The following is a 27,212-nucleotide window of genomic DNA, read 5'->3' as shown; positions in this document are numbered from 1 at the left end:
TCTGTTTTCACCAAGCAAGTCAGCAGCACTAGAATTTTCAATTATCTGTAGTCCTCTTCTCTGTTGATTAGAAAAGGCTGCAAGCAAGCACATACTGGGATTCACATTTATAAAGTCTTCTTACCTAGAGAGTCTCAAAGATAAGCGCTGCAGAGCAAAAATTAGCAAATGGCCTTTGAGAGTTTTAAAATTTTTGATAGGCCGGGCGCGGTGGCTCACGCCTGTAATCCCAGCACTTTGGGAGGCCGAGGCGGGTGGATCATGAGGTCAGGAGATCGAGACCATCCTGGCTAACAAGGTGAAACCCCGCCTCTACTAAAAATACAAAAAATTAGCCGGGCGCGGTGGCGGGCGCCTGTAGTCCCAGCTACTCGGGAGGCTGAGGCAGGAGAATGGCGTGAACCCGGGAAGCGGAGCTTGCAGTGAGCCGAGATTGCGCCACTGCAGTCCGCAGTCCGACCTGGGCGACAGAGCGAGACTCCGTCTCAAAAAAAAAAAAAAAAAAAAAAAAAAATTTTGATAAAAGAAAAATACTTCTATTCAAGGCCGAGTAGTTTTGTCCTGAAAATCATTTTTTTTTAAAAAAGCAACTGAATCAGTCTCACTGCACTTGAAAGAGCATTGGATTTTGATATTCTCTGCAGTCACAAATCCTGCTGAAGTATTAATCTATCAGCATTGGTGGCCTTAGAAACCATTGTATACTTCTGCCTAGTCTGATTACATGTACTAGAATTTAAAACAAAAACAGCTCTTGAAAGACTGAAAGCCAGCATATTAGTTCAGGGCCAACTGCAGAAATATTTTCGTCCCCTATATTTTGCCCTGCAATAAAATAGAAAATATTTTTTATTGCTGAGAAAATGGGGCTGCCTTCTGACCACTCACCCTGCAGATAGTCAGCAAGTTCTAATTCTGGTTTGAGGGCTATTTCACAATGCCATTCTCAGTGTTTTGTCTATTTAATTGACATATCGTTCCCATTTTGGAAGAGGATATTGCTCACTTGAATTCGTTCCATAGGGGAAAACAATTTTCCAGGATCATTTCCCTGAGAATTGCTTAGATCAAGACCAAGTTGTCTTAAGTAAATTGTTGATAAGATTATGGGAATACTAGAATCTTCACTTGAAAATGTCAGGCAAAAAAAAAAACAAAACCAAAAAAAAAAAAAACACACCAATAAGATAGCCCCAAATTTCAGTCAGCATGTTCAAAACAGCAACCCCTGTGTACTCAAGTGTGCATTTAGAAACTTCCTGTTTGCTAGAAGCTAGCTGACCCTGAGGCATTTCAGAAGATGTTACTAAACAATGCAGACCTAGGTCCTGATTTACATAGCCTCAGGTGCTTTGAGAGGCATTTGATGAGCGCATTTTCAAAGGCCTGAACAACAGCAGCCGTTCTGTCTGAAAGCCGCCGAAGAGCAACCTCTCTGTGACAGGCAGAATCAGTTACTAAAGGGTTGTCTCTGCTAATGAAATGTAATGAGAGAACATCTTTTATTGCTGTCACATTGTGTCAAACAAGAAGGCTCATCACCAAAAGTAATCCTGAAAATATCAGACAGTCTTAAATGTTTCTTTGCAAATAAATTTGTAAACAGGAGGGCTTGAAAATCAATGAGGACTAATTACGGAAATAGAAGTAAAATATTTAAGGACTATTCCATCAAAGAGCCAAAAGGGTGGTACACAGGTAGGCAATACTCCCTACAGCTCTTGCAGAGTGTCGATGGAGTGGAGAGGGGGGTGATTGTGGTACTTCTTTTTTTAGTGGCAATAAGCGAGAGCCAGCCCTGCAGCCACTAATGTTTTTGTGCATCTCTCTCTTGTCAGTGCACTGATAAGGGTCCTGTTTTGCATACTAGCCTTATCTCTGGTTCACTACCATAGATACATCTTTCTTGTTTACTTCTAATATTTTCTTCCTATATTATGTGAATCTATTATGAATGTCCTTTTTGGGGACAAGGCAGAGAATATGTGAACAATTTAGGTGCATGATGAGGAGAGCAGAACAGAACAAGATGGTCATTACAAGGTGGGTTTTTATTAAGTTTTTGGCAAATTTGGGCCTTCTTTCTTAGTGTCCTTCTTTCTTCTTTGTCCTCAGAGGAAGGCTTAAGCGATCCTTGCAGGAAAAATAGTTTATGGACAAATTTATACTACAATATTAAGAAAACCTTTTTATTCCTCTTAGGATAATTTATTATTTTTATAGGTTCTTTAGAGAGAGGGTAATGCTTTAAACTAAGGGAATGCTACTCAGTATAAGACTGAAGAGTAATGACCTTCTTAACCAAGAAATAACATCACAAAGTGGTATAAACCTTATCCGTGGAGATGGTCTCACTCTTAACCTTTGAAGAGGTCTGCCTTTGTCATGAAGTTAAAAGGACCTGAGAACCACTTGCTCAGTCTTAAACTCTCTTCTCTACTAGATTTAACATGCTTACATCTCTATCAGTACTGAAGATCCATAATCTTCCATTTACACATTTCTGGCAATTTTACTTAAATGTCTTATTATTTGGTGTAAGCTCATTGAATCCTGTTTCTGAAAATTAGATTCATTTGTAGCCTTTGCAAGGCGGGCTCCATCCCCACCACTCCATTGTGAAATGAAACTGAACCCACTGGTTTGCTAAATCCAATTTGTTAAGTAACATACTAGAATTCTTAGCAACATGTAATATCATTGTTTCTTCCCCCATTCTTGAAGCACACTGCTGTAGACTGTGCACTGCCTCCTACCTAAATTCATGTGTGGAAACCTAATCCCCATCGTGATGGTGCCAGGAGGAAGAGCCTTTGGGAGGTTATTGGGTCATGAGGGCAAGTTCTCAGGAATGGGACTTAGTGCCCTTATAAAAGAGACCCCAGAGAGCTCTTGTTCCTTCTGCCATGTGAGGTTACAGTGAAAAGGCAGCTGTCTATATGCCAGGAAATGGGCAGACATTTAATCTGCTGATGCCTTGATCTTGGACTTCACAGCCTCCAGAACTCAGAAATAAATTTCTACTGTTTATAAGCCACTAAGTTTACAGTATTTTGTTATAGCAGCCTGAACAAACTAAAACACATAGTCTATTCTTGGTTTCTGTGCATGTGGTGTTCCTTCTACCTTTCATCTCTCCTTCTCAGTCTTTCTTTTCTTTAATTTTTGCCAAATTCTTCTTTCTTCTCTAACCTTTAAATGCTAACATTCATCAAGAATCAATCCTCAGTGCCATGCTCCTCTCACTCTCTAATTTCTATCTCATCCACAGCTACAATTACTATCTAACATCGAAATGTTCGTTATTCTCAAACTGATAACAATCTTCTGTCTGAGCACCAGACCTGCCTAACCATATCTCAAAAGTACCTCATTTAAACTGTCAAAAAATCAGTTCATGATCACCCTACTCTCCAAACCTGGGAACCATATAATGCTTCTCTACCTTAGTGAATTCTGTCACTTCTCTCCAATATTCAGATCAAAATTCTTTGCATTTTCCCTGACCTTTTCCTCCTTCACCACCTATATCTATTTCCTGAAGACCTGCTGGCTTTGCCACCTAAATATCTCTCAAATGCTTTTTTTTTTTTTAAATCACATTGTCCTCACTCTATTCCTGTCTACTATCAGCTTTAACATGAAAAATATTTTGATTATTCTCCCTGCTTTCAATGTACACCCCTTCAATCACAGAGACAAGAGTGCCCAGTTTTAATATAAACCAACTCGTCTCATTTGCCAGCTTGGAAGTCTGATGTGATTTCCTGATTTCTTAATGTGGCTTACAAAGTCTTGTGAGATTTGGTATCTGTCATTCTCTCCTTTCTGATCTCCTTCTCTCTTTTGTTCTAGGTCTCAGGCATATTGCTACTTTAATTCCTTGACTATATAATGTTGCTTCCCACTTTGAGGGCTTTTTCCATGCTGTTCCTCTATGTAGAATGCTTTCCATTTGTTCCGCCAGCTAGAATGCTCTCCATACCTCCTTGCTTAACTAATACCAACTAATTCTTGCCTAGCCAGCACCAGCTAATTCTTCAGAATTCAGGCCACATCTAGTTAAAATGTCACTTCCCCTAAGAAGACTTCCCAGAAAGATTAACATATGCCTCAGTCCCCCACTGGACCATAAGCTCCATTAAGGCAAGAAACTTATCTATTTTATTCATTGTTTTATATGCAGCATTTTGTAGGCACATAGAAAATAACTGTTGAATAGATGAAAGCATATGAAGAGGTGAATGAATATGGGTGATGCTGGTGCATGAGGGACTACAGAGGCATTGCAAGGAGTCTTTAAATCTTTATGTATACCAAGGGATATTACAGATGAAAATCTATCTGTCCATGCTCATTTGGAGGCTTCACATAGATTTTGACAAGAGAAGAAGTTAATAAAGAGCAATATTGGTTATTATCAATCTAGATAAAAACTAAGTGCATTTACATATCTATAGTCATATAGTTGTCAGAACTTCCCATTGAAGGGCTTAGGTATGAATCCCTTTAGCCTTCAATACTGAAGGATGGAGCCTAGGGCAGCTGAACTAATTGGTGCAAAACACTGTACTCATTTTCTATGAATGTCACGACACAAAGTAGTTTGAAAAGCATCGCTAGATGGAATGTATTCAAAGGTGTTTTTGTTGTTTGGTGCTTTTTTTTTTTTCCTTAAAAGGTAATTGAGATCTCACCTTTAAAAGCAAAATACATTGAATCAACAAGGCTACAACTCAAATCAGTCTAGAAGTCTAAGTTTCTATTCATTGGGTTGTCAGCTACTATTAAAATGATTTTCATGAAGAGTATATAATAGTATTATAAATGTTTATAATATGAAGATGCTGATATGGTTTGAATATTTGTCCTGTCTAAATCTCATGTTAAAATGTAATCCATAGTGCTGGAGGTTGGGCCTGATGGGAGGTGTTTGGGTTATAGGGGTGGATCTCTTTTGAATGGCTTGGTGCTATCCCCATGATAATAAGTGAGTTCTCCTTCTCTTAGTTCACAGAGTGAGAGCTGGTGGTTTAAGAAAGCCTGGCATCTCCCTTGATCCCTTTCTCTTCATGTGATATGCCCTGTTGCCTTCTGCCATGACTGGAAGCTTCCAGTGGCCTCGCCAAGAACAGATGCCAGAACTATGCTTCCTGTACAGCCTGTAGAACCATGCCAAATAAACCTCTTCATAAATGACTGAGCCTCAGGTATTACTTTACAGCAATGCAAAACAGACTAACACAGATGTTAAATGGAATAAAGCAAGATATAAAATTGAAAATGCACTATAAGTACAACTGTAAAACACCAAGATAGGTAATAGCAGTTGTGTTTGGTTTAGATTGTTTTCATTTTCTTTCTCTATCTTGGCTTATATATATGTGTGTGTGTGTGTGTGTGTGTGTGTGTGTGTGTGTATACATACACATATACAGATATATATATAGACATATATATACATATATATACATATATATACATATATATACATATATATATGTATATATATAGGCTTTTTTATTTGAAGAAATAGCTGTTTTGCCTGTAACTGCTGAGTATTCAGCAATTAAGACATCAAAGATACAAGCTATACACGTCAGAAATATTTAACAAAGTATTTAATTTTTTTATATTTCTGGATCATTATGAATTTTATAAGGCAAGGCTTCAATATAGAGATAAAATTTTATATTCAAATTAGCCGGGCATAGTGGCGGGCGCCTGTAGTCCCAGCTACTTGGGAGGCTGAGGCAGGAGAATGGTGTGAACCCGGGAGGCGGAGCTTGCAGTGAGCCGAGATCCTGCCACTGCACTCCAGCCTGGGCGACAGAGCGAGACTCCGTCTCAAAAAAAAAAAAAAAAAAAAATTATATTCAAATACTATTATTTCATAATAATTATTAAAACTTATTCTTAGAACCAAATAGTGAAAGTATTCATTCAATTACATACCAGCTTCCCTACTGAACTGTAAGATGATCCTTGGTATTGGAAATGGTGTTTTCTATTTGGTGTGCACGTTATAAAGCACAATGCCTGACTCACCATAAGTAAATTTCTAATGTTTATTAAATGAATGAATACATATTATCAATAGAAAATATGTACCTCTCACCACACCTGCTACCTTCTTCTCCAAATAAAATTCAGTGAACCTTAGCTTTGATCTGATGTTGCCTCTTCTAATGTCTTTGTGATTATAATTTCCTATTTTAAAAAGAGAAGCCCTCAGTGGATAATTAGCAACAATCAAGAGAAGCTTAAGCATGCCATATAGGCAAAATTTCTGCCAAGAACAATTATCTTTGTAGAAAATATATCTCATGAGACAGACTGAGGGCACCTATCCTGCAGTAGAGGAGTTTTGAGAACCACTTCTACTGGAACATTTCTCTCAAGCCAATCTTCCTAGACTATCTACCTGAGCTGAATGCCTGGTATGGTTTTACTGGGATGGTCTGTACATTTTGTGAAATCTTTCTGCGATTGAGCTTGATTATACTACCATTTAAGTTTTAAATGCCTCAACTTAATCAATCTTTACAGTCAGTCCTACTTTTTTTCGCTTCTTACCCAAATAGGCATAGTCAATGAGACTATGGATAACAAACATCCATTTCCCATGGATAACTAACATAATCATTTTAGTCGAGCTTTAAGAAATATTAATCTTATCTTCCGTAGGTTTTGCAAAACATCAAGAAGACCCTGAACAAATAAAGCTTACAAAGTGGAGCCAAATTAACATTGTCTTTCTAAATGGTCAAGATAATGTGATCCTTATAAAAATTTAGAGGCATTAACAGAAATATCCCAGATTTTAAACAAATTAGAGCTGGTTCCTAGCCCCTGCAGCATTGGCAACCCTTATAAATTCCTTAAATACAAAATGAAAGTATAAAGTAGTTAAGGGGAAGAAATTCAATACGGAGAAACAACAATGCTAATTCAAATAGAGTTTTAAACTTGATAGTTCAACTAGAAAGCTTTCTCTAGGGAATAATTCACAGTTTGCCTTCTTTGAATGACAGGACACCTAATTAAGAGATACCTTACACTTCAGAAAACTTCCGATATTAATTATTTATTAGAAGACTATAAAATGCTAACAGTGTATAAGACACAACGATAACTCCTCCAGTATTTATTTATTTATTTGCTTATTTACTTATTTGGCTGGTTTTAGGAATAAAGGTCATATTATCAGCCTCACTAGAATTTGGATCAAAGGTTTTAGACTTTTTCATCAAGCAATTACCATTTTCTAAATAATAATGAATATTAAAAAACATGGACTATACATTCATTTGGGTTTAGTGTGAATTGAGCAGAAAATTCAAACAAAACTGTACAGTTGAAATTTGCTAAGACAGTAGATATTAACTGTTCTTACCACACACACCCAAAAGTAACTATGTGAGGTGGTAGATGTGTTAGTTTGATTGTGATAATCATTTCACAATGTATTCCTATGTATCAAATCATCATGTCATATACACTTTAACTGTATACAATTCTTATTTCTCAGTTACACCTCAGTAAAACTGGGGGAAAAAGTGTAAACATAATGGCTATATTATAATCTATCAAATCAATGGTTTCAAATAGCAATATTTGAAACTACTTTGATGTAAGTAGTCATTTCATTGCCTTTCTTTCTTCTTTAATTAGAATTGAATTCTCTTTTAATCAAATGTTACTGTTTTATTAAAAATATTTTTATGAATGTTTTCTAGGCAAGGTTTAATTTCATAATAGTCTTCTCAAGTAAAAGTATGTTGCTTACATAAGATTAGAGACTTCTTGTCCAAGTAAAATTGATCAACATAATAGACATGGAATCTGTAAATTCAATTATATGTCAAATGCACTAAGGTATATTTCTAGTTATTTCTAGTGATATACTTTATTTATTTATTTATTTATTTATTTACTTACTTATTTTTGAGACAGAGTTTTGCTCTGGTCGCCCAGGCTGGAGGGTAATGGCGCGGTCTTGGCTCACGGCAACCTCCACCTCCCAGGTTCAAGTGATTCTCCTGCCTCAGGCTCCTGAGTAGCTGGGATTACAGGTGCCCACCACCACGCCTGGCTAATTTTTGTATTTTTAGTAGCAACAGGGTTTCACCATGTTGGCCAGGCTGGTCTCAAACTCCTGACCTCAGGTGATCTTCCCCCCTTGACCTCCCAAAGTGCTGGGATTACAGGCACGAGCCTAGTGACATATTTTTATAACCTTTATAATTTACAAAGTATTTTTACACACTGCCATCAATTAAATCTCAAAAACGCCATTTTAAAAATGTGAAAACTGAGATTGAGAGTTAGGCGTTAATATTCATGACCAAAATCACTTGTCTGGTAATGACAGAGCCAGGAGCAGAACCCAAGACTTCTGGCCTTCATTCAGGTTCATGTTTTTCATATTGACTGATTTTCTTCCAAAGTTAAGAATTGTTGCCATATCTACCTCTAATTGTCTGAATATCTGAATTTCATTGTTTCAGTTTTTCTTACTTACTACTTTTAATTGAAGTATGTGCAAGTGAATCCATGAATGGCCAGAATTTAGGAGATGTACACACAGTTATCTTTATAAAGTCCATAGGACACTGAGAAACCTATGACTAACTCAGTCACTTCCCTATCACTGATCAATTTGAAGCATGATAGCGGCCTCAACTTTAAGTGGAATAAATAGGAGTTCTACAAAAACATTCATTAGAAAATCCTTCTAAAGTTTAATAGGAAAAATGAGATTAAACTTTCAAAGTTTAATAGGGAAGCAGCAAAAATACATTAGTCTACAAAAGTCTTGAATTTTTCTATTAATTAATAGTTGCTTAACTGGATTGTACGTGAATTTTTAAGATTACCATCAGTTGTTCTATATCTTTTATATATGTATATGCATATACATGTATATTTAATATTGTATAATATGATTATAATTATATAAATTGTAATACATATAAAATTACATATATACTATATGTAAATTATATATAAGATGTATATATATAATGACCAATGAGACCCTTAACTGAATACACACACACACACACACACACAAACACACGAAAAGATAAGCTGACATAAATTATAAAAGAATGAATTTTGTCACATACCAAAAAAATTCCTATAGGAATAGAACCCAACCATAAGAAAGGCCATTGTACAACTTTAAAAACTGATAAGGTACCTTAAATGACCCCCTTTCCCACCTCGGTGGGATTATTATTAATACTAGAAACTGAAGTCTAAACTGAATATCAATGTACATTTTAGCCTGTTGAAATAAACCAGAACAATTAATACTAATTATCCAGAACATAAGCAGTCTCAGTGACTGCATGGAGCCTGGTGTTACAACTGGCCTGTGTAACTTCCTAAGCAAACCTTAGCAGAGGCATTGCAGGCATTTGACCTCAGGGTTATACAGAGGATACAGAGGAGAAATTGTGAATATTTTCATATAGCTTTGAAAATAACATAATTTTATTGGGTTAACATAGAATATAATTCTTAATATTTTAGTTCTAGGACAAATTTTTAATCTTCATGGATTCTCAAAGCAAAATACATTATTTTACTTCTTTTGATTTTTAGGTTACTACAAAATCAACAGATCAAATTCTGGCCCTGAACTATCTGTTTAATGCTAACTGTTGTCAATTTAATCCTTTAGGTATGCTATATGCTATTAAATACTAATTACATTAGGGGAAAGAGGGGAGGATTATATAGATTACTGGTATTTTAAAAATAATAATTTTGCAGAAAAAGCTAATATCAACTTACTTTAAATCTTTGTCAAAAAACATTGTTTTAATCAAATTATTCTTGTAGACGGAATTGTATTTTTATGCAACATCATACTTAATGGGATATTTACCATCTCATATCATTCTCATATTAGTAACATCAAAGTTCAATGTAATGATGTATTAGCACAGGGAAATATTTCTAGCCTTATTATTTTTGATACAATTCCACAAGCAACTATGGAACACAACCACCATTTGTTCAGAAAGTATTTTCTGGAGGACAAACAACAGGTTTACATTTAATTGTTTATATTAGATTTTAAAATAAGCATTTTTTCTTGCTGAGATTATCTTCATCACAAAATTGAAGTTTTGTGTTTGAAGAGAGACATACTCCTAGGTAAGCATACCGTGTAATAATTATCTTGAAGAGTTTGCTTCTTTGTCTCTCAACTAATTAGTTGTTTCCTGTCAGAGTGTTGGGATGTGTCAAGTCCAACAAAATATTTGATCTTATTTCTATTCAAAATCATTTTGCAATCAAAATTAAGGAAAAAAGTCACTTACTTTGCTTTAGCTTCTGCATCTTCATATGCTTTATTAGAAACATCATCCAGCCCTCCAATCAAATGTTTAAAAGAGCTGTCAGACGAAAAAAGCACAGTGATTAATCTTCTACAAAATAGTAGCAATGGCAACCTAGTCAGTGATATAGTGAAACAATCTAAAGACATCTAAAGAAAAGTAAATTCAAACACTTAATCTAAGTACATTAATAAGAAGCATGTCAGACATTTTTCCTGACTAGAATATAAACTCTATGAAATTACCGACCTCTTCTACATTATTTGCCAATAGAGTTGCCAACACATAAACAAATCTGGCAACCATATCTGGCAAAAGCAGATGTTCAAATAATTGTTTGGAATAAAGTCTGTGACACACTAAATGATATACACCACAAAGTTAATCAGTCAATTAAAATACTGAAATGACAGCAAGATCTACCAATTATGGAGTGCCTCCTATATGCCAGGTACTGTTATTTAAATTACCAGTAACATATATTAATTACAATTCTCAAACAAATTCTGAAAAACAAGCATCATTATCTCCACTTAACAAAATAGTAAACTAAGGTTCACAGGCAAAATAAATATGAAGAATACAGGAAAACAAAAGGAGAAGATCACAGAAAAATTAACTCATTTTGGAAGAGTGAAAAATCAACTTTAGCATATAACAGGAGGAATGATTTAACTGCTTAAATCCAATCTATTCAATATCCTACTATGCACCTGGAACTGTATTCAGACTTCTATAGTGAAGCATCATCAATTGTGTCACTAAAATTGTAAATATTATAGCGCCAACACAAAATGAATACACACATGTATACCAGAATCGCCCTTGAAAATTACTGAATACAACCAGATACAGTAACTCTTACTGTACACTACATTCTAGCAACTACTGAACTGGAATGAAGGAAAGAAAAAAGTGAAAGTCTATACTCAGAAGTCCCAGGACCCACATGATAATCAGATCCTCACTTACATGGTACTCATATGCCAGGCATTGCTATAAGTGCTTTATATGTAATAACAAATACTTTAATAGTTCCAATGAGGTTTTTCAAAATAAAAGTTAATTCTTTTATTTTGAAATACTATGAGTTAGTATTATAATCTCTAATTATAATGGAGATAATTTTAAAATACTGTAAGAAATTACATTTCATTTTAATCCTCTGTCAGCTTAATACATGTAAATGGTTTGTGTGTTGTGAGTATTAAACAATAAGTTATGCATGGTCAGGTCCTGAAACATAGTAAGGTGCTTGCTGATTTAAAATGCAATGTTCCTTAATTGCTTTTACATATACTTTTTTATTTTGAAAAACTATAAAGAGGAACATGACATCCTTCTTGGGGTGGGTGGAGGGGAAGGGAGAAGCTGTTACTTCAGACCCTTGGGTAGTGAGCTCATCTAGAGTGCATGGTAACCAGAATGCTGAACCTAATACATGAACTATTTCTATACATAAAGGGACCCCAAAAAAGATTAGACAGAGACACGGGGAATCAAGAATCATATTCAAGAATATAAAGCTTTCTGTAATTAATTGTATTAATTCATTCCAAAAGAAATGATTGTTAAATAGACAAATAATAGGCAACAGTCTTTAGAAAGTTTTCAAAAGTATATTACCAGTGATAATAAATATAATTCCCACAGTTGAAAAATATGTTCAAATATTATTTTTGTCATTGTTCTTTATATGGTAAAATTTCCCACTTTCCCATAGAATGTCTTGGTCCTTACCTAAACTTAGAGGGAGTCCGAGTTTAGAGAATGTTAAGGCTAGACGCGTTCACAACATAAAGTATAATATTTCTTTTATTATAAATAGATAATATCTGGCTAATTTTCTGGGGGTTTTTTAGATAATAAGAAAACTCAAGCACAGTTTAAGTTCCTTGTCCAAGATGACTGCAATTCAGCAGCACGTCCACCACCAGAATGTATATTCCATAATGCTTCTGTCCTTTATATTTGGATATTTACAATACAACAAAATCCAAAACATTATGAAAAGGTATTGAAAGAGAAGAATCAAATAATATTATGTAGGAAAACCAAACAGCAATAATTACTAAAACTTAGTTTTTCAAATCCATTTCAATATATTAAGAGATTGTGTTATTAGGCATTTAAAACTCATAGTAATTCTGAGAGTTCAAGTAGTTTTTTTTAAAAAAATCCTGTCTTCCTTCTATTATCTATTTGAATTAAGGACACTTTAAACAGGATAGCGTATTACCAAAGAATTACAGAGTAAACTGATGATAAATTTGACAAGAATTAAAACTTTTAACTTAACAAATTCTGTTCAACCTACTAAGCTAGATTAAAACTCCACAAAATATTATTTTGAAAATACACTTTGAAATTCTTAGCAAAATATAATAAATGGAAAAGCATAGATATGGTTATGCTAGATGGAGTTTTAAAAGTAGAAACCATCTAATCATCCCAATGAGCTTAAAAATAAGTTGAGCTTGATTGGAAAAAAACACATTTTAAACCTCATAATATCATATCCAGTGACAAGTATCACATTAAAAAACAACGAACAAAAGTAGTATTTGAAGTATAACTTTCTTCAGGTCTTCTTAAGTGTCCTTGATTTAAAATATGAATGTTCTATGTTGTCCTAATGACCCAATATTTATTAATATTTCTTATGACTAGACAAAAGTGAGAAAATAATATGTACCTACAAAAGACCTGTAAAAATATTATAAAAACTATTTTTAAATTCAGTTCCCTATAAATTTCATTTGAAATGTAATTGATTTTTGATTATAAAAAAATTAAAACTGAATGGAGAAATTAAGAAATCACCCATAGGACTCTAACTACAAATGACTAGAGGAGGTATCTTTATATATTTCCTTTTACTTTTAATTTTTTTGCATAGCTTTATTGTTGTTCATACTTGTAATCTTCATCGCTATGATTTTTAACTTAATATTATAGCATAAGTATTTACTTTTATTTTGAAAAACTCCTTAAGCAATATTTTAGTAGCTGAATACATCACAGATACTCAAATACACACAGTTGAAGGAGGAGTTGGAGACCTTTTACACAAGTATCTTTATTCATACTCTATATTATAAATATATAGAATTTATTTTCAAAATAAAAATACTCAGAACTATAATCTTGGCATTTGGAATTGGAACCATGGGTCCTTAATAAATAATCTTTACTTAGAAGATGATCCTAGCCAAAAGAATACATTTTCTGAAACGTTAAACAAATGTGTCTTGCTGATAGATTCTAAGTCTCCTCAAACAATAAGTCAACCATTATACATAACCGGAAGTTTAAGAAAATATAGAATTTTCAAGTAATATTATTAAGTTCCAAATGACTGCCACTGTCTGCAGATCCCTGTACTGATCAATGAGTAATTTAAGACATCTTGATAAGCATAATTGATGGTGTTATAGAATTTATCACTCCTGGCACAAAAATGAACCAATTAGTGTTTCATTTTTCCTTCTCTCAGACACTCTGTAGGAACACCTGACATCTGTGTGAACCCTCATCAAATAGACATTCAGAAAAGTACTACTATAGGTATCAGATGCTTTTCTAAATAGTTACTCAGGTCCTATGACATTTCTTGACTAATGCCTTTTTTTGATTGTTATTCTATTCTGAAAATGATTATAATGAGATGTTGTGAAAACTCCAGCAACTGAATAAGTAGAAACCAGAAAATATTATTTATGAGTTTTAACAAATATAGGTGACTACAGAAAAATCATTAAATTATCTTTTTAAACAAACACAATTCATACACACGTTACATTTTAACATTGTAAAATAAAATACCAAATTTCTACATGCTAAACTTAATTTCGGAAGAAATTAAAGACATGTTACCGAGCAAATGGCTTTAGTTTAGGGCATCTCCACAGCAAACCTTTATGCATGCACATATTTCATTCAAAATTTTCTGTTACTTTTCTTGGGATAGAAAATCTGATTTTACAAGTCTTGACATAATACTTTAAGGAGCATGGGTAAAATATTATCAGTTGAGTACACAGATATTGAAAGAGAGCAAATGGGAAATCCCTTTCATGTTTAATGATGGTAGTTTAGACATACTTGTCAGGTGGGGAAGGAAAAGAAAGGAAAGAGGAAGGAAGAAGGAAGAACAAGGAAGGGAAGAAGGAAAGAGTGAAAGGTGGATGGAAAAAGGGAGACAGAAAGGGAGAAGAAACTATAACTCTTACACACTAAGAATGGTGACATTTAAAGAAATTGTCCTTAGGAATATCAGTTAAGAGGCTGTTTCTCATTTTAGAAAACGTGTCTGTTTTAGAAGTCAAGGATGACCGTAATTCAGTGGGTAATAAGTTTAGTTATTAAAATGTTTTCATTATTAAGGCAAAACATTCTTCTGAAGGGAGCTGATTACTCAATGGTATGTCTAAAAAGAATATAATTCGGTTCATCAGTTGTGATATAATGAGACTTCATCTAGACAGAAATGGTCTTTTAAATTATTAGAAAGGCAGTCCAAACATCAGAGATCAGCATTACCACTGCTAAAAAATCATAGCATTTAAAGTTTACTTTACAGGTTACAAAGTATCACATATATATACATATATATATATATATATATATATATATATATCAACTAACTCACACACAATATATATATGTATATATGTGTATATATACACAACATATATATGTGCATGTATATATATATATACTTGGTGTGTATATACAGTGTATGAGTTAGTTGATTTAATTCTCATGATCTCCTATCCCTTATTATGATATAGTGGCTTAGAATTTTGTATAAACATTTTAAAAATAGAATATTTTCAAATTAAAAATAGGGTGGGAGAAAGTCTCATAACATTCAAAACAGATTTTTTCTTTTTTACATTTAATAGTGAAATGTTATAAGTCAAAAAGTGTAAAAGGTAAAATCTTAAATTGGAAGCTATTTCAAACACTTCAATAATGCTAAGCAAAATGTTTGTCAGGTATTATCAGAATGCTTGGCTACGCCTTCTTAATTTCACAGGCTATACCGTTATGCTTTGTTAACCTGAATCTCATCTAAATCTTTTTAAAAAAATATTTATTTAAAAATGTAGAAAGTTAGTGTTCCAAAGTAGTTGAGACGTTTTACTTAGCTAAGCCCAAGGTTTCAGAGGGATCCTTCATTGTTTTGACACACTTATGCAGAAAATCCCTTGATTTACTTTGTGGCTTCAAGTGTTCTTATGTTTGTTATTTTTTGTTTATTTTATTTATAACGGGACAATCATAATTCTTAGCGGTTTATACTATCAACTATCATGTGAATATATGTTTCCTTGGAGAAAAAATTACCCCCAAATAAAATAAAACCAGCCACATCCATATTTTCCCAGTTATCCATCCATTTATTCATCCATCCATCCATCCATCCATCAGTCCATCCATTCAACCAAACTCACACATATGTACATATACAATACCTACTATCTATAAGGGACAATTCAAGCTACTGTGGATTATGCAAAAGGAATAAAGTACAACTTTGAGGAATTTAGAGCCTTATATTACAGATAAGACACAAAGACTTATAATACGAACGTGAGAAGTAATGAGTAGCTGAATGCTTATCAGAAGGAAGGCTATAGCGTGCATAAAAATAATTTCATCTACTCAAAATCATATCAGATAGTAATTTCATGGAAAGCAATTACATTTTTATGAGTAACTAACTAATTATTAGTATTTTCTTATCATGCACATGTTTATATTTGCAAGAGACACTTACACACACCAGAGTATTAGATGTTTGTCTGTGTCTTTGCTTTGTAATAATATCCCCCTGTCTATCATGGGGATTATTCACTAGAAAAATGGATTTCAAATAACAAACACTTCATTTAAACTGTTTCCTGATTATAATTATGTGCTTTAAAAGGTACCACCATTTGAAAATAATGATCCAATCTGGCATATGCACAAAGGAATAAAAAGCTAAGAATTAATTTCAGGAATTATCTCCTTTTACTTACTGTCACTTTTGAGAAATAAAAAAGTGACTTAGTGGTGATCAAGTTTCCATGTCTAATATGTCCATATAAATCAGTCTTTTCCAGGACAGGGTCTTGTTAAGTTGACTAGGCTTATTATAATAATCAAATGAAATCATCTAGTTTTGAATTTTAAAATTACGTGTGTGTGTGTGTGTGTGTGTGTCCAATGGCAATAGGTTAACAAATTGAAAGACACCAAAGAACTCTAAGGGATAAAAGATGTATTGTAATTTTACAATCTTGAGCTAAACGTTAACACTTTGGCATGTATCCTCCTTGATTTTTTTTCAGTTATTTCAAAGTTGAAATTGTATTGGTTTAGTACTTACTTGATTTTAGGCTGTCTGTGCTTATACTATAACCAACTTAATGGTTAAGTGTGGAAAACTATCCAGTCAAGCATGTAGGACACGCCTGGTTACATAGAAATATCCAATATGAAATGACTAAACTTCTCGATTTTTTTGTTTATTTGCTTATCTAGTAATTCTACTGTTGAAATATTGGTGACAAACATTAGCTTAAGATTTTATTTTTAACTCTTTCTCACTTTTAATCCTTAACTGTTAAGAATATATACATATTTTTGGTATGGATGTAGTGAAAAGGGAACACTTACATTCCTAGTGGGAAGGTAAACTAGTATAACCACTATGGAAAATAGTATGGAGATTCCTTAAAAAATTAAAAGTAGAACTTTTAAAGTAGTACTGGGATTTCAGTGCAGCAATCCCAGTACTGTATATCTACCCAAAGGAAAAGAGGTCATTATATGAAAAAGACACTTGCACATGCATGTTTGTAACCGCACAATTCACAATTGCAAAAATATGGAACCAACCTAAACGTCCATCAGCCAATGAGTGGATAAAGAAAATGTGGTATATATACACCATGGAATACTACTCAGCCATAAAAAAATGAAATAATGACATTTACAGCAACTTGGATGGAGTCAAAGACCATTATTCTAAGTGAGGTAACTCAGGAAAGGAAAGCCAAATATCATGTCTCACTTATAGTTGGGAGCTAAGCTATGAGAATGCAAAGGCATAAGAATGACATAAGGCACTTTGGGGACTCAGGGGAGAAGGGTGGAAGTGGGGTGGGAGATAAAAGACTACGTACTGGGTACAGTGTACGCTATTAGGGTGATGGGTGCACCAAAATCTCAGAAATCACCGCTAAAGAACTTACCCATGTAACCAAAAACCACCTGTACTCCAAAAATATTGAAATAAAAAGGAATATATGCATCTTAATAAAGGGTGTAAAAAGAGAAACACTGTTTTAAAAAGAAGTGTTTTGAGATTTTCCTACACACAATTTTGATATTATAAATATTCTATCTTAAATATTTATATACAAGTTTCCTATATATGATTCACCCTTTTCTAAGGATGACTGAATTCACAATCTTTTTGTAGAGTAGTGCTACTCAAAGTATAGTTGGCCCACTATTTGTTGCTAGTCTGTAAAGACATAAGCACAGAAGTTTAGGAACTTTTCTAGCAATTTGACAATGCTGAGACATCCAAGCGCAAGATCAGTGGACTTGTGTTTTTGAACAGGGTACAGATTTCTGTTACTGTCAAATCCATAAGGTGAGAAACATTTGGTAAAAGCTGCATACAAGTCATGAGTAAGAGGGTATTATTAAATGTGTGCTATTTTAAGATTAGTTTGCTAATTTTAACCTAAAGTATATAAATTCAGAATCTATTTATCTTATCAAAAGATAATCAAAATTTAACCATACTTTACAGGAGCAATTGATAGAACTAGCTACTAATGAAGGATTAACTAAAATAGAACATCACTTGTTCCATTTTGAATAAAAATAAAAATGAAGGCCAGGCACAGTGGCTCACGCCTGCAATCCCAGCACTTTGGGAGGCCAAGACGGGTGGATCACTTGAGGTCAGGAGTTCGAGACCAGCCTGACCAACATGGATAAAGCCCTTCTCTACTAGAAATACAAAATTAGTCAGGCATGGTAGTCCATGCCTGTAATCCCAGCTACTCAGGAGGCTGAGGCAGGAGAATCACTTGAACCCGGGAGGCGGAGGTTGCAGTGAGCCGAGATCATGCCATTGCACTCCAGCCTGGGCAACAAGAGCGAAACTCCATCTCAAAATAAATGAATGAATAAATAAATAAATAAAAATAAATTTTTGCAGTATGCTGATACTACTTTAAAATCACTTCTTCTGTTCCCGTCAGTTCTACTCTGTGAGACTGGTTTCTCTATTCTGAGTGTATTAAACAAAACATAAAACAGCTAAAGAACACATTACTCCCTGCAAGTGGCATTTCCATCATCCATCTAACCTAGATCAAAAAAGTTAACAATCAAGAAACAGGCACATTTGACACATTAAAGACTAGACAGTGAAATCCACAGTGTTCTTTCAAAGTGTACCAATTGCAGTCAGAATGGAGAATTGCTATTTCACTCATAAATTGTGGTTTTGTTATGATGGTAGACAAGTATAATAGCCATTATCTTCCTTATTACTTGTACACATGCTTTCAATGACAATGTGATTAATTGGGGCAATTTTTTTCCTTTTATCTGGCATTATGTTTGTTCTAATATTTTTATTGAAATAGGATTTTATGTATGCTGAATATAATAGGAAAAAAGAGTGGCATTTATTTCTATGCTTTTTTTCACTTGTATTTTTCTAGCAATTCATTTGTATTTTGTTTTACAAAAACATCTGTCCACAATGGATGGGCTGAAAATAAAAACAAAACTGGTCCTTAAGCACAGATCCTTGGAAAAGCACTGTCCTAGACCACTCACTTTCTCTCTCACCCCCACCTATATGCCTCTTTCTGAATCCTATCTGATACCTTGTGGTTGCTTTTCAGAGCATATTGCAGAGTTCTGGAATTGTTAGTTTTTGGTCAGTCTCCTTCTCTATAAACTGAGCTATTTAATGTCCACGTTTACAGATACTCTTTAATGTCCTGGCCCTTTCCAAAAACATTTGCTGACTCCTGTTCTAGATTGTCCTCTTCCTTCCTCTGTATCTAATCCAACACCAAATCCTGTATATTCTAACTTCAATAATCTGAAATGAATCCCCTCTTCTATATTATCTTTGGGTCTCAACTGCCATTTTCTCACTGAAGAATTCTGTAACTGCCTTTTCCTTTATTTCCTCTCTCATCCTTACACAGTAAGCAGAGTAATCTTTTAAAAACATAAATCAGATCGTGTCACTCTTCTGCTGACCTCTACAACTTCTCTGAATTATCCCATGCTACATTTGACCATAGAATACTTCACGCATCTGCCTCAGGGCCTTTGTCTTCTGCCTGGAACATTCTTTCTCTAGATTTTCATGGTTTTTTCTCAGTACCATTCAGGTCTCAGCTCAATTGTTTCCTCTTTATACAGGACTGACCAACCCATGCAAAGTAGCCTTCACTCAAAATCCTTCCTAATGTCACTCTGTGATTTTAACTCATTTTCACTCACCACTAGCTAAAAATCACTTTGTTTGTTTAAATATCTGCTGTCTTCCTCATGCCAAAATGTACATTTCATGAGATCAGGCACCTAGTCTAGCTTCTTTATCAGTATCTCTATTTAGGAACTAGAGTATTTCCTGGCCTGTAATAGAAATTTAAAATGAATTAATAAATAGCTGGATGGACTCGCTCAACCACTTACTCATTTATTCATTTGGGTATATGTATGTGCCCAGGATATGACTAGCAAACTCTTAAGTTTCTGAAGCAAAGTTTTATTTAAAATTTAAGATATATGAGTTAAAAGTCCTCTGTATGTCTTAGGGTATCCACCTATATGAACTCTTAGGACAAAGGCTTAGTTAAAATGAATGCCTAGCATCCTAATACAGCAATACATTGGTATAAATACGGGTAAAGTGATTTGAAACACTTAGCAATTTAACATTGAATTATATAGAGGACATTAAATGAGGGTAATTATTTTAGACCATAATGAAATTTATATCCATGAATCCCAATTGCAATTAAAGTGGAAGAAAGGATTTTAAAATGTAGCATGACTTTCATTTTCAATTAAAAGCAGGAGAAATTAGAATCAAATCTCAGGTGATAGTTCTTAGCCTTTTCAGTGTTTAGGAGGAAAATATAAGAATAGATTGCCCTAATGTGCCCAGTCTATATGTTTCCTTTTCCTTAAAAATAAATATCTCTCAACTATACTTAAATCAAATGGTCCATGCAATGGACATACTTTTTGTGGCTGGACAATTATTTTAAGTGTTAGCAACTCTCTTTACCTTACTATATAAAATCCATACTAACAAAAGTAGATATTACACATTACTCTTCCTATCACTGCTTTTCTGGACCAGATTACACTGTTTTGACATGAAAACCAATGATAAGTTTCACATATGTTTAATTAATTTCATCAAAATAATATACTTTCCCAATGGAAACAAACTATCAATACTAAATTAATTTTTTCATAACACTGTAAATTCTCAATTTTAAGACCATTTTGTGATAGAATTATGTAGAAGCAAATGTGAATTTTTTCTCCAAATTTTGGTATTCTCAAAGCAGAATCTATGGCAACAATGAGCGTCTTATCTATTAAAAAATTTTCAGAAGGAAAAAACCGACACTAGGGCCCACCCGAGGGTGAAAGGTGAGAGGAGGGTGAGCAGCAGAAAAAAATAACTATTGGGTACTAGGCCCTTAGTACCTGAGTACAAAATAGTCTACACACCAAACCCGCATGACACAAGTTTACCTATATAACAAAACTGCACATGTACCCTAAAACCTAAAAGAAATGTTTTTAAAAATTTCAGGCTCCTCTACTTACAAATTATTTAAAATTTACAAATTCGTATAATTGGCAAAAAAATCCTATCAAAATTGTCTAAAAACAAATAGGCCATATTTATTAAAAACAATAAAAATCTATAGCTGATATATTCTAGTTTATATAGACATATCAATTATAGTAGATATCAGTTACAACAATCCACTTTTTAGTAACTGACTATTTAAAAACTGCTTCTGGGAAACTCTGGCTAAGAAAAATATCTTGGGAATGCAAATACTATGATAGTCACTGATTTTCTATTAAGCAACTTGAAAGTGAAATCCTAAAATGGCATAATAAATCTATCCCAAGGTATCTGTTTTAGTAGACTTTTTGTTATTTATGCTGTGAAACTCCTTGAAACAAAGACATTAGTTTAACATTTTTATAAATATCAATCAATTACTGGACTTTTTATTTCTGCTCTCATTACATGATTAGAAAGGGAAATACATACTTTTCCCAAAAAATAATTAGAAGCTTACCAATGAATGCATCCCTTTATGTCACAAATTAATGTTTATATAACTTAGCAATATAAAAATTTCAAATAAAACATGAAAATACTAGCTAGCATGTATTAGGATTGTACAAACTATTTTACATGGATGTTCCCTGTTTTACAGGTAAGGTGATCAAGGCTAAGAAAATTAAGTAATTTGCTCGAGGTCACATGTCTAGTAAGTGTCAACACTGGGATTTGAACCAAGGCAACCTGTTTCCAACATCTGCAATCCCAGCCGTAATTGGCACCATATTTATCTCCCCAATATGGAAATCTGAGGTGATCTAGTTAATAGTTGTGTCTAAGATTTGGTATTAAATATCTGCTTTCTCTCTCTCTCAAATCCTGCCCTTATGGCCAATCAAATTATTATTATTATTATTATTATTATTATTATTATTTTGAGATGGAGTCTTGCTCTGTTGCCCAGGCTGGAGTGCAGTGGGGTGATCTTGGCTCACTGCAACCTCCACCTCCTGGGTTTAAGCAATTTTCCTGTCTCAGCCTCCTGAGTTGCTGGGATTACAGGCACCCACCACCATGCCCAGCTAAGTTTTGTATTTTTAGTACAGACAAGGTTTCACCATGTTGGCCAGGCTGGTCTTGAACTCCTGACCTCAAGTGATTCCACCCACCTTGGCCTCCCAAAGTGCTGGGATAAGTGGCATGAGCCATCACAGCCGGCCAAGATTCCTTAAGATAAATAATTTTTATTTCAATAGGTCACCTCTTTCTCCTATTGTATTATGTGTATAAAAGTTCCATTTAGGGAAGTAATTAGTCCCCTGAGGCTGCCATAACAAAATGCCACAGACTGGGTGGCTTAAAGAACAGAAATTTATCTTCCCACCATTCTGGAGGCTGGAAGTCCACGATCAAGGAGCCACCAGGTTTGGTTTCTGGTGAGTTATTTTGTCCTGCCTTTGGCTAACAGGCCCCTACTCACGGCATCCTCACATGGCCTTTCCTCTGCATGTGCGCCCTGTTGGTGTCTTTTCCTGGCTTCCAAGGACTCCAGTCCCACAGGTTTAGGGCCCCACCCTTATGACCTCATTTAACCTTAATTATTATACCTTTTGAAAGGCCCTGTCTCAAAATACAGTCACATTGGGGGTTAGAACTTCAACATATGGATTTGGGGTGGACATAATTCAGTCCTTAATAGGAAGTCTAATGAGGGAACACCAATGGCAGTCTAGACAATACATTTTCTTGTGTATTTGGGCTATTTAATATGATTTTCATTTGTAATTTTTGAAAGGTTCATAAAAAGAACTCAGCTTTTTATGAACCTTTCAAAAGCTACAAATGAAAATCTTATTAAATAGATTTGCATTTTTTCCCTGGACTTCAAGTGCAGTGACATTATCATCGTACTTTTCTGCCATAGGAAGTACCCCATGTTTTTTCTAAAACAAGTCTCCTTTTCATTGCTACTAATCACAGAGGCTTTCATCTTTCTCCTCTGGACTCTTGCTCCATCAATTACAATCTTTCTTATTGTTTTGTTGTTTCCCTTTTGACTTTTCTTTCTTTTCAGTCTAAACAGGATGTTCTTTCCAAACCTAAAAAAAAAAAAAAAAAAAAAAAAAAGCAAAACTATCCTCTGTGGTCAAATAGTCAGTGTGAAGAAGCTGCTTTTCCTATGTCTTATCCTCATTTTTCATTAATTCTCAGCCTATTGCTGCCTGGAATTCTATTCCCATCTTTCTTTCACCCTTATTACAACTTTTCCCTCAAAGTTATCACGACTCTGCTAACCATTCACCCCAGTGGTCTCTTTCCAGGTCCCATCCTCGGTGAGCTATCTGAGGTTCAGGGTCCTGCTCGCCTTCTTCCCTGGTTGCAGTCATGCAATAGACGCTCATGGCACTCCACTAAGGGGCTCTGTGCTGATCACTGATGCCCCACTTTCCCGATTCTTCTCTTCTCCCTCTATGCTACCTTTCAGTATATGTGACACACATTTCTTCCTCTGACATTTCTTAAAGGTAAATGGTTTCCCAAATTGTGTCCTTTGCCTTTTTTTTTCTATTCAATATATTAAATTTGTTTTCTTAAATATTTCTTGTTTAAGATATGTTCAGTTTTGTTTTTTACCTTCATGATCTCATTGAAACCTCACAACATCTCTACAAGGTAAGTACAGTTATCTCTGCTTTATAGAATACTTACAGCACGGTTTCTCAAACTCAGAGCTACTGACATTTTGGACAAGATACTTCTTTGTTTTAGGGAGCTGTCCTGTGCATTGTAGGATGGTTAACAGCATCCCTGAACCCTGCCCACTAAGATAACAGTAGCAAACCCAGTTGTGACAACAAAAAATGTCTCCAGGCATTGCCAATGTTACCTAGATGAGAATACATAAGTGACAAGGCTAAGAGAGGTTACATAAACTTGCCTGGGACCACATAGCTGGAAAGTGATCTAGAATTTGATCCCAGGAGTCTGATTTTTATTAGAACTTAGTTCTTACATAGTACACTGATTTAAGTTTTCCCATAAAATAATATTTAACCTTAAGACTTCAGTTCAGATCCCCAGGCCGATGACCTTCAAATCTATATCCGTATCCTTGAACTCTCCGGATACATATTGTCATCATTTTTCTCAGTGTCATATGCATGTCTCACCTGTACCTCAAGCTCAACCTAACCATAACTGTATTAACCAGCTTCCATCCAGACTTGCTGTTAGGTTTTCTGACTTTCTAATGGCATTATCACCTACCAATAATTCAGGATAGAAATCTTGGTGTTATCTATGACCTTTCCCTTTTACCCAAGCCCATCCGGTCTACCTTTGCAATCTCTCTTGAATTTGTTCCTCTTTTTCCTTTCTACTTCTACTGCCTTATTCAGGTTATTGACATTCTTACTTCAGAAGCATCCTCTGTTTCGCTGCCTTTAATCTCTCCCACCCTACTCTTTCCCCAAACACAACCACGCTTTCCAGTTACCACTTACTTTGTTGGTATAAAAGCAAGAGTTGGTATAATTGGCAGAGCATGGTCTTAGTGCAGACAGGCCTGGAATTCCAATACAGCAATGTAACTCTGACCAAGTCACTGGGTCTTTCTGATCATTAATTTCTCTCTGAAACTGTTTTTGTTTTCTGGTCCCATGGGGCTATTGTGGGGATTAGCTGACATGAGTGTATTAAAACAAAAACATCATATTTGGATGCTGAGAAAATTTATAAATTAGCTTGTGTGAACTCTTCCTTTCTTTTCCACCACTGACCACAATCTATATCATCTATAAACTGGGATCTTCTCAAGTCATAATGTTTTGTTCCTATGTAAGTTATTACTTGGATAATTTCCATTTTTCTTTTGTCTACCCTTTCTTTAGGTACCTTGTTGGCCTTTACTATTTACTTTTGACATTTCAGAGGAAGTTTATTTGAGCTCATTTCTACTCCCAGTTTTCTGAAGTCTCAGATTTGTTTATTCTTTTCCAGAACAAAGAAGCAATCACTAAAGAATGAACAATCTTCCAGATTCTGTCCATAATTAAGTTCCATGTCTCAACTGCAAGAAAAGAACAAATGTCAAACTAACTCTTTTAGGACGGTGATGTAACTAATGCCTTGGGCTGATTCACCCCAGTCATGTTGTTTCAACCAAAAACTTAAGCTGGCGAGGGTGCAGTGGAACAGATGTTCTCATATATTGTCACTGGAGAGTAAACTGTATAATGATTCTAGGCAATAATTTAAAAAATACATATCCTTTGAATCAGTAATTCTAATACTGCATATTTCTAAAACAGGGGTAAAGTTTAACACAGAGAATTCTTTACAAAATAAAAAATTAAAATGAGCTTAAATGCCCAAGCACAGTCAAGAAACTATGACAAAGAAACTCAATTATACATGAAGTGTTTTTATTAACATGGTAAATTGCTAATGCAACGTGGTAAAGTATGTGCTATAATAGGCTTTGAAAATAGAATTATACTCAAATACCATTTCTTTACTTACAAGCTGTGTGTTTTGCAACCTGACAGTTTGGCTATGTGAAGCTTAGTTTACCTTTGAAATGGAGAAAAAAAAGAATTCCTTGCAAGTTTGCTGTGAGAAAAATTAATGACTATTTATCTATAGTACATCTAGCATCTATGTGTATATATTAATATCTCTATCTGTGTGTATGTGATTTATTAATGCTGCCCCAGGATGTAGACAACGCAGGAGAAAAATATCTAGGCAGAATTATCTCACTATTTAAGGACACGAAATTATCAACAGTAATTCCCTTTGAATGGTAGGGTTATATTTATATGTCTCTATGCTTTCCAATCTTTCTAAAACAAACAGTTATTACATTTATAATCATATGACATAGACTATATTAGAAAGGTAAAAAAAGAGAGAAGATTTAAAGTGAACCCCATGGGAATAATGAAAAATAATTAAATAAAATGTTATTCAGCCCAAGTGGGTTTCTTGTCTAGATGACAATGTACTGTCTCCAGTGCAGCTAGGAGGACAACACCCTTCTTGCCTATTAAAGGCAAATCATGATTTGCCTTTGCTAGTCTGGCTTTCCATTTAAAACTAATTCAATTATATGACTGTAGCAAAGCAATGGCTAATATGATCATTGTACTTTATGCAAAGAAGTAAATTCTAAAAAGGCCTCCTTTGTAAACACAGCTGTCTGGGAATGAAGTTTCACTGTTATTGTGGCTGATGCTAATCCAATTCATACATCCATGCTATGAGTTCCAAAACGAGTACCAACTGCTAGACATATTGAAAAGAAAAGAAAAGTCTTAGATCTTTATGACCCAGCTGGGCCTGTAATAACTGTCTCACCAGGCAAGTGTGAATACTAAAGTAAGCAAAACCATTTAACTCCACCAAAAAAGTGCTGTGGATGTCTAAAGCAGAATTCAACTCTCAAACTTCATGACTATACAGTGAATTTTTAAACTGATTGCTAAGCTTCTGTCAGAAATAAATCCTGGTGCCCTCCACCTCCCTGGTTTACCTCTGGAACACAAGAAGCATTATAACGTCTCCTCAAATAAACAGCCAAATGTTGTACATAAAAAAGGTAAAGAGATTTTCAAATATAAAATTTCAAATATTATCTTTTTAACTGAAGAAATTAAGATGGATATTTATGATTTAGAAACTGAAATCTTTTATATTTTCTTATTCACTCATACAACTTGTTTATGAGTTCCGAAGACATTGTGAATTTCTAAATAACAAGTTTTATAACATCCAATGGACAAAAATGCAAGTCTTAGAAATATAGTAAGGTTTCAAGCATTTACTGGAAAAAAATGAATTATTTATTCATTGGTGCAAAACAAAACAATAACTGTAATTAACGTAATCAAAGCTGTGATTATTATATTTTTAAAATAATTATGAACTCCAACATCAATTTCCATTCATCATCTGATTGTAAAAAGTAAAACAAAACAAAACTCACATTTCTAACT

General features: G+C 34.3%; 1 protein-coding gene across 5 annotated transcripts in view; it reads right to left on the bottom strand.

Moving 5' to 3' along the window:
• The window catches only part of PRKG1 (protein kinase cGMP-dependent 1), a 1,307,463-nt gene that overhangs the window by 126,050 nt on the left and 1,154,201 nt on the right, over positions 1-27,212 (bottom strand). For all 5 annotated transcript variants that reach the window (NM_001098512.3, XM_017016413.2, NM_006258.4 and 2 more), the window contains one exon: positions 10,338-10,412. In NM_001098512.3, coding sequence (NP_001091982.1) covers positions 10,338-10,412 — 75 coding nt within the window. The remainder of the gene's footprint in view (positions 1-10,337; positions 10,413-27,212) is intronic.

The sequence above is a fragment of the Homo sapiens genome, chromosome 10 (genome assembly GCF_000001405.40).
Source record: "Homo sapiens chromosome 10, GRCh38.p14 Primary Assembly".
NCBI classification, from domain to species: Eukaryota; Metazoa; Chordata; class Mammalia; order Primates; family Hominidae; genus Homo; species Homo sapiens.
Note: the sequence above shows the minus strand (reverse complement) of the source record. Positions and strands in the feature narration are given on the sequence as shown.